This window comes from Homo sapiens, chromosome 12 (assembly GCF_000001405.40).
Source record: "Homo sapiens chromosome 12, GRCh38.p14 Primary Assembly".
Taxonomy (NCBI): Eukaryota; Metazoa; Chordata; class Mammalia; order Primates; family Hominidae; genus Homo; species Homo sapiens.
This window is the reverse complement of record NC_000012.12, coordinates 49,670,435-49,684,580: the sequence shown is the minus strand read 5'-3', so window position 1 is coordinate 49,684,580 and position 14,146 is coordinate 49,670,435. Positions and strand designations below refer to the sequence as shown.

The following is a 14,146-nucleotide window of genomic DNA, read 5'->3' as shown; positions in this document are numbered from 1 at the left end:
TCTAGAATGTCCTTGTTAAAAGTTTTGAGCATCATCTCAGAAGCTAGAGGATAACCAGCTAGACAATGTCCAGTAGAATTTGGCTTCTCAGTTGATTCTTTCCAAGAATTGTAAAGAAAGCATCTAGTACTTGTTGCCCACAGATCCAGGGAAATGTCAAGTTGGTGTCATAACAGTACAAAAGCACTACCAGCTGCTTCTGATTGTCTTGGAGGCAAGAGGGCAGAGAGAGCCTTATTTTGTGGCAGGGCGGCTAAAGAATCACATCAGCACTCAGGAGGGCCTCTGAGGTGGTGAACTGAGAATGGTTAAGGTGTCATTTTCCCTGCCTAGAAACAGAGAGGGGGCAAGATAGCAGCCCTCAAAGACTCAGCAAGTGTAGCCTAGTACTCATGCACTCAGCAAGTGCTTAGAATTGTGTTAAGAGCTGGAGAAAGGTGACTAAGACAGTCATCCTGCCCCCAGGAGTTCAGTCTAGAGGGGGAGACAAACACATTAAACATGTAATTATAACATAAAGCTGTCTAAGTGCAGTTCTGTAGAGATGCAGGAAGCATCGGGAGAGCACAGTAGAGAGGTGGGGCTTGGGGAATATTGCCCAGAGAAGGAAATCTCTGCTGGCTAAAAGGGTATTTAGGAATAGGACAGAAGTTTGGAAAAGAAAGCATTCCAGGTAGAGAGGACAGCATGAGCAGAGGCATTAAATTGAGACAGCATGATGTGTTCAGAGAACCCTCTCAGAGCTGCTCAGTGCCGTTGAAGTGTAAAGTGTAAGGCAGAGACTCGTGGGAGGCAGGGCTCAAGTGGTAAGGAGGGCTTTGAATGCCATGTGGAAGAGACTGTGCTTTATGTGTTTCATAGTCAGATTGTGAGTTGTGGGTAGGTCAGTCTGGCAACCATGGGAAGGAACCAGAATTGGAGGTAGGCAGCTGAGTGGAAGGCCTTGGCTCTGTGGTGGTGATGATGGGAGCCTAAACTGGGACCAGTTTGCACAATGGAGATGATGGGACAGTCAAATAAATGTTAACTATTAATAAATAGTTAAATTTTCATGACTGATTAGATTTTATTTCAATTTTTGATGGCTGATTAGATTTTACATTGTGAGGATAGAGGTGAGGGAGAAGGGAGGCATTGAGGATGGCACCCAGATTTCTAGCTTGCTAGATTAGAGTTAACTACTCTAACAAGGGAACACAGTAGAAGAAATACCTTAGAAGGAAAAGTGATGAGGCCACTTTGAGACACATGAGGTTGCAAAGCCTGTGGAAGTCTGGGTGGAATGTCTAATGGGGGTTGAGTATTTAAAGCTGAATCTCAAAGGAGAAGTCTGGGATAGAAATACATATTTGAGAGTCATCTATGCCTACTGTCAATAAAAATGTGAGCTTTTCTCCAGTCTCACAGCACAGCCCTTCAGTGATGGGGAGGGACAACTCCTAGGACTTATGTAAGGTCACAAGGAGAGAAGCACAGTTGTTGAGAAGAGTAGTTAGTTGAGGGGGCCAAAAACAGATTTGTGGCAGAAGTGGACCCGAGGAAGTTAGGAGACAGTAGGGGAAGTGAGGAATCTGAGATGAGGCGGGAACACTAGAGATAACCTGGCAAAATCTCTCCCATATCTCTCCACAGATAACAAAACCCTGGCCCCAAAAGGTTAGAATTGTCCCAGATCACTCAGCTGCTCAAATAGCAGAGCAGCTTAGTGAGTCGACTTCATTTCACTAAGTTCTGGTCTCAGTTTTCCTGTGAATCCCCTGGGTGGCTGTTGGTTTCTTGATTTTATCTTTTGAAGGGGCAAGGGTACAACTGCTCTAACCTACAGAATTATTAGATCACATGAGATGAGGGAATCATACTTTACGTATGTTTAACCTATACTATTCAACTATACATTTATACTCTTTTATATATTTTAAAGTACTATGAAATTAGGCTGGGCAGAGTGGCTCATACCTGTGATTTCAATGTTTTGGGAGGCCAAGGCGGGAGGATCAATTGGGACCAGGAGTTCAAGACTAGCCTGGGCAACATAGCAAGACCTTGTCTCAACCAAAATAAAAAATTAAAATAGGCAGCCATGATGGCACACACCTGTAGTCTCAGCTACTTGGGAAGCTGATGTGGGAGGATTGTAACAGTCCAGGAGTTCAAGGTTACAGTGAGTTGTGGTTATGCTGCTGTACTCTGTCTCAAAAAAAATAGTATGAGGGCCAGGCACGGTGGCTCACGCCTGTAATCCCAGCACTTTGGGAGGCCGAGGCAGGTGGATCACGAGGTCAGGAGATCAAGACCATTCTGGCTAACACAGTGAAACCCCGTCTCTACTAAAAATACAAAAACTTAGCTGGGTGTGGTGGTGGCCGCCTGTAGTTCCAGCTACTTGGGAGGCTGAGGCAGGAGAATGGCGTGAACCTGGAAGGCAGAGCTTGCAGTGAGCCAAGATCTAGCCACTGCACTCCAGCCTGGGCGACAGAGTGAGACTCTGTCTCAAAAAAAAAAAAAAAAGGTTGAAATTGTATTTGTATTTTGCGTATGTACTTAGAAGCTAACTTGAGTCAAATGTGACTCCTGGAGTAGGTCATTCCAGTTACCACTTACAGGGTCTTTCTCCTGCGCCAGGCACTGTGCAAAATCCCTTTTATTCATTTTTAAGAGGCAGATATTATCCATATTTTGTAAATGAAGACACTGAAGTTCAAAGAAGTTTCATAACTTTCCCTGGTTGGGCACGGTGGGTCACACTTGTAATTCTAGCACTTTGGGAGGCCAAGGTGGGAAGATTGCTTGAGGTCAGGAGTTCAAGTTCAGCCTGGGCAACATAGCGAGGCCCTGTCTCTACAAAAAAAAAAAAAAATTAGCCAAGCGTGGTGGCACATGCCTGTAGTCCTAGCTACTTGGAGGCTAAGGTGGGAGGATCACTTGAGCCCATGAGTTTGGGGCTGCAGGGAGCTATGATCGCACCGCTGCACTCCAGCCTGGGCAGCAGAGTGAGAACTTTCTGACTGTCTCGTGAAAAGTAACAGGATTCAAATCCAGTCATCCCTGATTCCAAAGCCTGTGCTGTACTGGAAAGTTTAAAATGCTACTCAGGCAGGGCGCAGTGGCTCACGCTTGTAATCCCAGCACTTTGGGAGGCCAAGGCGGGTGGATCATGAGGACAGGAGATCAAGACCACCGTGAAACCTTGTCTCTACTAAAAATACAAAAACTTAGCTGGGAGTGGTGGCAGGCATCTGTAGTCCCAGCTACTCAGAGAGGCTGAGGCAGGAGAATGGCGTGAACCCGGGAGGCGGAGCTTGCAGTGAGCTGAAATCGCGCCACTGCGCTCCAGCCTGGGCGACAGAGCGAGACTCCGTCTCAAAAAATAAAATAAAATGCTACTCAGATGTAAGAATTTGTCACTAGGTTGTGTCCAAGAGGACAAGTTTCCTTGCATCTGTACTGTGCACAGTCTCTCTCTTACTCTGTGAAGCCTTGAACTTCAGATGTTCAGCACACATACTCATACTTGGTTCAGCTGGTTTCACTCAGTTGTGCAGAATAGGGAAGCATTGTGTAATGATCAACCAAAGCCAGTCAGATAAATCAAGTTGGACCTTCTCAAGTTAGAAAAAGAGATTTGTTTTCTTTGTAAGGAGATGGGCGAACATGGTAGAAAACCTTGTATGTTGGAGGCCACACGTCTGGGTTTGAATTTGGGTCCTGCTACTTTCTGTGTAACCTTGAGCCAGTTGGTCTCAGATTCTTAATTCCCTCAGTGGTTATTGAGAATAGTAAGTGAGAGAATGTGAGAAAAGTGCCTGGCATATAAAAGATGAGTAGTAATGTTTTTCATCCGTGTTCTTGAGTGAATATAACACTTAGGACATCAGACATTTCAAGAAGCAGAGAAGATTTGGGTCGTGGGGAGGGAACTCTCAAAAGGTTAAGTCTAAAGAGGTGTTTTTTCCTAGCTGTACAATCAAACGAGATGTAAAAAAGCTGGAACAACTCAAAAATAGCATTGGGCTGTGGGTAGCCTAGACCTCTATGTCAAGTTCTAGCCTTCAAAGCGTGAGAGGGGACAACATTGGGAGGACAGCTCATGGATCTAGAGCAGACTGAGGTTATTATGATTCCTCCCAAAAGAGGATAGAAGCACTGAGGCGCTGAGGATGTACCTCCATTTGAAAGCAAGGAAAGGCAGGACTTGTAGAGCCTCTCCCTAGCTGATACAACTTGTGACAGATGTGTGCCTGTGCCAGACCTCAGTTTATCTTTCTATAAAGCAGGGGTCATGCCCTCCCACATGTGTCTGGAAGTAGGAAGGGATTCATTAAGTTTTATGGCTTTATAATAAGCTCTTAGATGTGTCATGAGACTCCTGGAAAGCCAGAGCTGGGCCCTAGGCCAGTGTACTGGGTGCTGCCCCCCAAAATGGCCTCTGCTGTCTCTTTGGGCAGCCCAGAGTATCTATCTATTAAGCTTTTTCTGTGTGCCAGGCATACTTGCTAGGAACAAGTGTATTCAAGGCAAAGTCCTCAAGGAGCTTATATTCTAGTTCAGGAAATAATATAAAATGTGAAAAATGAATAACAATATGAGAGAGAAGTGACTTTTCCATGAAATCTTGCAATTGAAGGGTCTAGCATCATCCTGGCCCAGAGTAGATGTTTATAAGCTTCAGGTTCCCCCTTGTTTGTAAATACAAGAGTTATCGCAAGGCAAAACAGGTCCCCCAGTTGGCGCAGTGCATGGTACATAGAAGACATGAATGTCACTGGGTGTGGTGGCTTACGCCTGTAATCCCAACACTTTGGGAAGTCAAAGTGGGTGGATTGCGTGAGCCTGGGAGCTCGAGACCAGCCTGGACAACGTGGTGAAACCTGTCTCTACCAAAAAAATTTACCCAGGCATGATGGTGTGTGCCTGCAGTCCTAGCTACTGGGGAAGCTGAGGTGGGAAGATCACCTGAGCCCAAGAGGTCGAGGCTGCAGTGAGCCGAGATCTTGCCACTGCACTCCAGCCTGTGTGATGGAGTGAGACCCTGTCTCAAAAAAAAAAAAAAAAAAAAAAAAAGACACAAATGCTGTTCCAAGAATGATTGAATATGAGTGCTAATGGGAGGTTAGGGCAGAAAACCCACAGAAATTCAGAGGAAGGAATGCACAGAGATCTGGGTTGTTTGGGAGAGGTTCCATGAGGAAGGTTGAGATGGTACTGATTGGTCCTGAAGGATGCATACAATTTGGAAAGGTGCAAAGAAGGGCTAATACGATTCATTGTCTCAGAGGAGACATTGTGAGGAGTTAAAAGCTTAGACTTTGGGGTCAGACTTGGGTTCAAATCCCAGATCCACCGTATGCTTGCTTTGTGATGCGGGGCAAGTTCCATGGCCTTTCCAAGCCTTCGTTTCCTTGCTTGTAAAATAGGGATAATGATAGTCCCTACTTCATAGGACTTTATATCATTGTTTTGAGAATTAGATGAGATAATTCATATAGAGTGCTTATCGCAGTTCTGTCAATAAATGTTAGCTTTTTTCATTATTACTGTTTTCATTTTAGTAGTGTTATTATTGTTATTATCCTACTTATGCCACCTACTTACTTAGCTCATCATATCCTTTATCACCCGACTTTTCTGCCTGCTGTAATTTCCTTATACATACTTTCATGCCTTTGTAGTAAATCACTTACAGACTCCTGGATTTGTAATGGTGTTTTGTGTTGCCAGTATTTGCAAATACTGTCTCCTTGCCTAGAATATCACCATCTTCCCTTCTGCTCTTGCCTTTGCCTGATTCCTTCCCGCTTGATGTTTAAGACTAATTCAAGGTGGGGCACTGTGGCTCATGCCTGTAGTCTTAAAATTTTGGGAGGCCAAGGTGGGTGGATCGCTTGAGTCCAGGAGTTCGAGACCAGCCTAGCCAACGTGGCAAAACCCTGTCTCTACTAAAAATACAAAAATTAACCAGGTGTGGTGATGAGTACCTGTAGTCCTAGCTACTTGAGGGGCTGAGGCAGGAGGATCACTTGAACCTGGGAGGTCGAGGCTGCAGTGAGCCAAGATTGTGCCACTGCACTTCAGCCTGGATGACAAAGTGAGACCCTGTCTCAAAATAAAAATAATAATAAAAATAATGCCGAGTGTGGTGGCTCATGCCTGTAATCCCAGCACTTTGGGAGGCTGAGGTAGGTGGATCACGAGGTCAGGAGTTTGAGACCAGCCTGGCCAACATAGTGAAACCCTGTCTCTACTAAAAATACAAAAATTAGCTGGGCATGGTGGTGCGCGCCTGTAGTCCCAGCTCCCTGGGAGGCTGAGGCAGGAGAATCACTTGAACCCGGGAGGCAGAGGTTGTGGTGAGCCGAGATCACACCACTGCACTCCAGCCTGGGCAAAGAGTGAGACTCCGTCTCAAAAAAAATAAAATAGGCCGGGCACGGTGGCTCACGCCTGTAATCCCAGCACTTTGGGAGGCCGAGTCAGGCAGATCATGAAGTCAGGAGATCGAGACCATCCTGGCTAACACAGTGAAACCCCTTCTCTACTAAAAATACAAAAAATTAGCCGGGTATGGTGGCGGATGTGTGTAGTCCCAGCTACTTGGGAGGCTGAGGCAGGAGAATGGTGTGAACCTGGGACGCAGAGCTTGCGGAGAGCCAAGATCGTGCCACTGCACTCCAGCCTAGGCAACAGAGCGAGACTCCATCTCAAAAATAATAATAATAAAATAAATCCTGTGACATTTCTTTCAGGAAGTCTTACACCTTACTTGACTCCACAGTCTAATTAGATGTTACCTCCTTGGGATCCCACAGTAGTGTATGTGCCTCTTTCACAGCAATGCTGTCTATACTGACCCCTGATTTGCATGTATACCTTTCCTCAGGATATGAACTTTCTGAATGTAGTGACCATACCCTATTTATTTTGATATCGCCAAATTCTAGCTTGTGCTTGACATAGAGTTGTTTCCCAGCTAAATGTTGAATAAAAAACCAAACTGAAAAAACATAGGTAGCATTATGTGTAATATTTACTATATAGGTTCTGATTTAAATGCTTTACATATATTAACTTATTTAATCATCATAGCAACACTATGGGGTAAGTACTATTATTCCTGCCTCCATTTTACAGGTGAGGAAACTGAGGCTTGCAGAGATTAAATAACTCTCCCAAAGCCACACAGCTAGTAAGTGGTGGAGCTAGGATTCAAACCCAGGTAGTGTGGCTTCACAGTTAGTGCTTTAACCACTACATTGTATGTGTGCCTCTAGGAGGGTCACTGAGATTTATGATAAACATATATATTGATTGTCCAAGAAAAGGTGAAGAAACATTAACCATAAGTCACAATTCCATGAACACATTTAAAAGTAATTAGTAAATGTGCAGAGACACTGTTAGGGGAGTGGATGTTACTACTGTCATTTATGAAGGATTTGCTAGAGATGGTAGATTTCACCTGTTGTGAATTGGAGGAGGAGCATGGCTGGCAATTCGAAAGGAGGTAATCTCTCTGGGGTACAATGGAGTAGAAAACTTAGGGACAGAAGGAATATACGAATGGAGAAATTCGATTTGCCCAATCTTTATTGCTCACCTATTAAAGTGCTAAACAAGCTGATGGTGATTCCTGTTCTCAGAAGCCTGTGTTCTAGCAGGTTATAAGAAGATGAGTCTGGTTAAAGAGAAGAGCAGGGAAGTGGCTTAGATTATGGCATAAACTGAAGTTGAAACTCAGAATGAAAAGTAGGAGTTTGCTGAGGGGAAAGCAATATATAAAGTGATTTGTGCTATAGGACATAAGACAGATTATAGATAAGAGAACTCAGAAATAGTAAGGACAGTGGTAAAAAGTTAAAGGATCCTCCCTTTCCCCAGTTAACCAGGAGACCAAATAAGGGACTTGGTGGTAGGAGTGGTAGGAGCAGGATCAATCACTTATTTATTAAGCACCTGCACATGATTCAAAGAAGGATAAGACGGCCCCTACCCTTAAGGAGTTTATGTTCTTTCTAGTTGTGAATAGAGAAAGCATATGCAAAAAAAAAAAAAAAAAAAAAAAACCCACTATGAAACATTCAATTTGTGCTAAAGGTCCATGGTATCAGTGTCCTGGTATTTTCTCTCTTGTTATTTCATCCATGTGGATTTCATTTCCAAGGTCACTTCATGGTCTAAAATAGTTGTTGAAGGTTCGTCCACTGTCTATATTCCAACTAGCTAGAAGCAGAAAGGAGAAAAGAAGGTTATATTCCCTCCCTTTAATGACATTTCTCAGAAGTTGTGCACACGACTTCTGTTTACATCCCACATGATCACATAGCCATACCTAAATGCAAGGGAAGCTGACAAACATATTAATTCTAGGCTGTCAAGTGTCCAACTCAGCGTTGGAGGTTCACTACTAAGGAGGAGGAGGAGAAGAGGTTGGGGGATAACAGGCAGGTCTCTGCCATTTTATTCTTTAAATGTGATTATGCTTGGAGCTCAAGAGAGGGGCTGATTATTTTAGGTTGGGTAGTCATAGAGCTACTGGATTTTAAGTCAGGTAGTAGGTAGTAGGTAGGGAGTCAGCAGATTGGGGAAACATCAATCACAAGCAAATCCTAGGGTTAAGGAATGGGAAGAGTGGCTGTCCCAGGAGAGAGAGATTCCATAGAGTGGGAGAGGATGAGGCTGGTCAGAGAAGCTGGGGCCAGCCTGGAGAGAATCTTACCTCAGAAGCTCTTACTGTAAGATGCTAAGAACAATAGGCCAAGGAGCTCAGGTTTTCTCATATAAATGATAAGGAGTCAAAAAAGATTTCTGAACCAAGGAGAAACATGATTTATCTTATGTGCTTGGAAGTTTGAAAGTTTCATTCATGTGCAGGATGGCAGGGAGGAAAGTATTGGAAGTAGGGATGCCAGCTAGAAGCTTATCCCAGAGGGCGGCAAGTGAACAGTAACGGCCCACCCAGGTGATGACAGTGGGAATGGAAGGGCAAATATAGATGAGAGACCTTGGGAGGGAGACTCACTGGGCCTGTTGGTATGAGGAGAAAGGGAGTTGTGACCCCAGAAATATTGTGTCCTCTGAGAGGTAGCACTGCCCATTGGGCTCCCCAGGTGGGAGGACAGAACCTCATGAAGAGAGGGAGGTCGTTGGTTGGCTGCAGGGAGAATGCGAGGCTCTGCCCCAAGACTCCTTGGCTTTGGAAAATAAGCTGCCCCCAGCAGAATACTTTCCATTCTGCGTAACTGGGGAGTGTGTGGGTCTGGCTAACCACGAGGAGGGGCCGAGGAGCCAATAGACAGATCAAGTTGCTGTGGCAGTAGCTTTTTACTAGGGCCTGGGTGCTCAGTTGGGAAGCGCTGACAGAAGCTCCTATCGGAGATTGTATATTTTTTGACTGGGCAGGCCAGAAAGGGTGGCCTTAATCAGGGTTTGGGGACCTCAGGGTTACCTGCAGAGGTTATCTCATGTCAGGTATGAGGCCAACAGTGTGGCAGAGGAAAGAGTTTGAGGCTTTACCAACTTTGGGGACATGGCCAATATCCTTTGCCTTCTCAGGATCCGGTGGAGGAATTCTCTAGGATGAAGAAGAGGCCCCGGGGGTATAATTGTATTTAGAAAAAGCCATCTCTTTGTTTGAATGATGCTGGCCTTTTAGGACCTCTCCTTCATCTGACTTCCCTGGTGTGAACTGCAGAGCTCAACCAGAGACATCTGGTGAATCCATTTCTTTTTCTTCCAGGCTGCTCAGGGACTTGGCCCGTAACTGCTCAGCAAGTCATTTCTGGTTACAGAGTCCTCAGTGACCACAAAAGCACGTTCTCCAGACATGGTTCCGAGCCTGTGAGAGCTGGCTTTTCCCTGGCAGCTCATCACCAGAGTGGTAGCTTCAATTGAACAAAACCTGCAAGGCAGATCTAAGATACTACAGACACTTAAGGAGCACCCATTTTTCTTATGCCTTTTGTCATGTGGTACCTAAGCAATTTGTTCAGATGTCTAAGAGGGCAGCTGGGGCCTAGAGAAAGCTGTGTAGCTAGACTTGTACTCACATGCTTCTGTGTGTGGGGTCACATAAGGAAGGAGATGAGTAGTAATGGGGAGCTGCCCTGGGGAGGCTGTAGAGTTTGGCAGGACCAGGGCTGGAGGCCTAGAGTCCAGGGAGGTAACTGCTGCCTTTCATCCTTTATATTCTTGAGTGCTTTGGTGTGGTGGTGGGGTGGTACAGCTGAAGTGTTTGCCCCTACTCTATCGAGGCAGGGCAGGGGGTTGCCTGTCCTTCTGGCCAAGTGTTATTGACTGTTCTGTGATTTCCTTTCTGCCACAGGATATAGATCTTTGCCCAGAACCTTTCATAGTTGACTCAGCCCATTTCAGGCTGTCTGTTTCAAGTTATCTTCTCCAAACCCGAGCTCTGGAGAGGAGGATGGGAGGGAGTCAAAGCAAGGAGAGCAGTCTTGAGCTTTGTCTCCCCAGGTTGGCAGCGAAGCCAGGCTTGGCCTTGGTCTGTGAGAGCTGCAGTGAGATCTGACCATCCATCTGTTCCATTTCCTCCCCTGTGCTACCCCAGCCAGTCACAAGGCTGGGGAAAAGTGTGGGTGTTTGGAGGGGCTGCCGTACTTCCCATGTCTGGACCTTTTAAAATTTTAGCTCTTGGACCTTTGATCAAACTCTCTGATTTTTTTTGATTCCCTTTTACAAAGGATTGCAGTTTTGAGGGGAGTTAGAAGGAGCTGTGCTGGAACAATGAGATAAACAAACAGTGACGTGGAGGCGGCGGCAGCAGCAGTGTAGGCAATGGGCTGGGCCGGCTGGCCTGCCGTCTGGGCGGGCTGGGTGGAGGAGGACTCCCGCCCTGCTCACTGGCCAGCTGGCTTGTGTTAAAGTGCTGGCTGAAAATAACTCTCATTGTCTAGGAGCTGCTACTGCGGCAGGACTGGCTGTGGCCGCCAAGGGGCCAAGGCAGCAGGAGCTGGTACCTCCCACCTCCTTGGGCTCTTGCCCTTTGGGAGCAGGGCCCAACTGGCCACAGCTGTGCCTACTGCCCACCAGTAGAGACATGTGGAGGCCGTTCCTTACACTCTGTCCTTTTGGCAGCTAGTAATGGGCCTTTGTGCCTTGTGTTGCCTGCTTTGCCACTGGCTTGGGGCAGATCTGTTGGTTTGTGAGGGGAATCCTAGTGGGAACATGGGAACATGGGGTGGGAACACTGTGTTACAGCTCCTCCTTCAGCAGTCTTCTGGACTCCCAAATTTTGTGTCCACTTGCCACTTTCCATCTTTGCTCATCTGCTCAATGAGCTGATCTGTGGATGCCACGGAGGACTTGGACCTGCGGTCAGGGGCTCAGCAGCACGTTGAGAAGTGTGTGGTGCCCAGGACAGCACTCATTTAATCTGTGGGGCAGTTCTAGATTCAGTTTCTCAGGACTCCCTGTCCCCATGGGCTGAGTGTGGGGGCTGAGGCTACCACACTTGGGAGAAGACAGCCATAGGAAACCTGGTGGGAGGTGGTTCAAGAGGGAAAACATTAATAAAACTACCTCTCACTTTCTGTATTTGCTCAAAACAAACAGCCCCTGCTGGAGCTTCCCTAAAGCCTCCAGTTTCTTTCCCAGGAACATTACAAACGTCTCTCTCCCTGTCTCTCGAAGCTATGCCATTTTGGTCTCTGTTCCTAAGATTTATCATGATAGGGACCAACAAAAACAGTTGGGAATTTTTGGTGGTTCCTATTTCTGTTTTTTGGGTTTTCCCCAGGCCTGGCTCAAGAAGACTGTCAGAGTAGGGGCAAGTCCCAGAGCAGAGCTCACAGCTTTGAAGGAAACTCCAAACCCTACCGGCATTTCCCTTCCCCTGCAGTGGGAAGGAAATGAGGAGGGGCTCACTGGGCTGGGGGTGCAGAGTGGGAAAGGGAAGGGAACCTCTGCCACCAGAGCTGCCTCCCTCCTTGGCTTGACTGGGGCTGTCAGGGGTCAGGTGGAGAGTTAGGAAACCTTGCTGGAGGGACCAGGCCTTGCTCACATGCACCCCATTGTGCAGGGAGATTTGCCTGGCCTCAAACTGGCAAACAGAGCAGCCTTGCTGGAGAAGCACCAGCTCCATGCCTTTCGGCTTCTTCCCATTATAGATTTTTATTATTAGATGTTTTGCTGGTTCCCTGTGATTTAGGAATCGGTCCCAGAGTTGCTTTCAGTTTGAGTTCATCTTCCCCTTTTCCTCACATCTCCTATTGTGACTGTTTTGGCTGTGACTTACCTCCCTTACTTCTTCCTTGGAGTCTCCTGCCATGTCCCCCACCCCTCAAGATAATGATACCAAAATTGGCGCCTAGTCTTAGAGGAAGCCAGAGCAGGATCAGTGAAGGGATAATGGATTGCTCTGTAGTCAGAGTGTTGCGAAGCAATTGCTGAAGGTGGGATGGAGGCAGAGAGAGAGAGACAGCCTAGAAGCAAGAGGGCAGGTCCCTCGGACATCAGAACATGACACAAGATTTTCGGGAGGAAGCAGGCGGTGAGGGGGACTGTGTTGAACACCCACAGTGTTCCAGACACATACAGACATAAAATATTTATCTTTTAATCCTCAGCTAAAACCCTGTGAAGTAGTGAGATTATCTCGTTTATGGATGCGTTCACCAAGGCTCCATAACTCTGAAGAGCCCAAAGTTGATCTTGGGCCCTCTGACTTCACCCACATTTAGTGCCCTCTCCTTTCCAAGACAGCCACTGCCTCCTTTCTGCTCAGCAAGGGTCTCAATGAGGAGTTAGCAAGAACTTAGCTCAGCTTCTGCCTTCTGGGAGCCTACAGTGTCTGTGGAACCACTGAAGAAAAAATGTCAAGGAAACAAACTTTTGACTGAGACCGGAACTGTGTCAAATTTGCTACTTTGCTGTCCCCGGAACTCAGGAAGTTGTCATTCCTAAGGGCAGAGAGGCTTCCTTAGGACATTGGAGCCCTGCCAGACTCACACACATTATCAGGTAGAGGCAAAAGCCCTGATGCCCTTGTCTAGCAGGAAGAGAACTGTCCAGGCCAGGCTCTGGTTTATGCCCCCTTGGCAGGTGGCTCCCACTGGCAGCCAGTGACCCGTTTCTTCTGAGAATGCTGGAGCTTGGGGGAATTCCCCTTACCCACCTCCTTCCCTATCACACTTCAGCCCAGAAGAAGCAGAGAAGTCTGAGACCACTGTCAAGAAAGTGCCACCCAAAGCTCAAGACAGGAGGATATGGCTATGGTCAGACCTACTTCATGCCTCTACCACCCGTTTCCATACTTTGGGATCATTCCTTCCTGGGGATCTAGAGTTTGACCAGGTCCCTGCTGTGCCTCTTCCATGCTCTTAGGCCAGGACTCCCCAAGGGGGTGACTTTGCCCAGTTTTTCAAACCGAGGGGACCAAGTGTTTCCTCATCAGTTCACCTGGTGGAGAAGTATGAGCCACAGCTGCTGACAGTGGGTGGCTGAGGGAGGAAGTTGGCATAGACAGGATGTGATGTCTGCCACAGCAGTGACAGGCTGCCCCCTCCTCCATTCCAGCAGCTTTCTTCCAGGGGAGACAACAGAAAACTATTTTCATGGCACAGACTTAGGAGAAATGGTCAGATGGCAGCGATGTGTTTAGGATATGCACAGAGCCAGGGCCAGTCCTGAGGACTATTTCTGCTCAGTTCTGTCTTGAGTTCATCTGGCAGCAGCCTGGCCACAGTTAGGCTGAGTTAGGAGATCTACTCTGGGTTGACCTTGAGTCCTTGTTTTGTTGAGGCCTCTTGCTCCTGTCCTGCTGTCCACACGGGTATGCTGAGATTGGCCTTAACAAAGTAGTTTCAGAGAGAACATTCCAGGCTTGTGTTTGACCATCTTGCCATCCATCCTACATAGACTGTGAGGAGGACTCAGCCTCACTTTCCTGTGGAAGTTCAGGCAGATGCATAGTGCAGCAGGAACCATGGGGAGAGGTATGATGTGGGGCTTTCTTCCCCTTCTTTGTTTCTCTCACCTGCCCCACTTCTTTGGTCCTAAATTCTTCCATGTATAAATTCCAACTGAAGACTTCAACCCTACTTCCTTTTTGAGCTATAGTGACCTCGTTTCCAGCCAGTAGCTGGGCTTGTAGCTCAGACCTGGGACCTCTTCCACATAAGTTTATTATCACCTT

At 46.8% G+C, this 14,146-nt stretch overlaps 1 protein-coding gene across 13 annotated transcripts in view, besides 3 other annotated features; it reads left to right on the top strand.

The window, feature by feature from the left end:
* The window catches only part of FMNL3 (formin like 3), a 70,907-nt gene that overhangs the window by 22,825 nt on the left and 33,936 nt on the right, over window positions 1–14,146 (top strand). For 2 of the 13 annotated variants that reach the window (XM_047429861.1, XM_011538974.3), the window contains exon 1: window positions 10,899–13,946. The exons of the other annotated variants lie outside the window; for them this stretch is intronic. The gene's annotated coding sequence lies outside the window, so the exon portion shown is untranslated. Of the gene's footprint in view, window positions 1–10,898; window positions 13,947–14,146 lie in introns of those variants that run through there. 13 annotated transcript variants of the gene reach the window in all.
* Window positions 9,922–10,001: an enhancer, noted in NCBI's record as "active region_6323". NCBI's record gives its function as "activates an Ori minimal core promoter by ATAC-STARR-seq in GM12878 lymphoblastoid cells {active_cell/tissue: GM12878}" and the evidence as "EXISTENCE:reporter gene assay evidence [ECO:0000049][PMID:35858748]".
* Window positions 10,052–10,141: an enhancer, noted in NCBI's record as "active region_6322". NCBI's record gives its function as "activates an Ori minimal core promoter by ATAC-STARR-seq in GM12878 lymphoblastoid cells {active_cell/tissue: GM12878}" and the evidence as "EXISTENCE:reporter gene assay evidence [ECO:0000049][PMID:35858748]".
* Window positions 10,365–11,063: an enhancer, noted in NCBI's record as "H3K27ac-H3K4me1 hESC enhancer chr12:50067301-50067999 (GRCh37/hg19 assembly coordinates)". NCBI's record gives its function as "activates a minimal SCP1, AML or CMV promoter by ChIP-STARR-seq in naive H9 embryonic stem cells {active_cell/tissue: H9 hESC(naive)}" and the evidence as "EXISTENCE:reporter gene assay evidence [ECO:0000049][PMID:30033119]".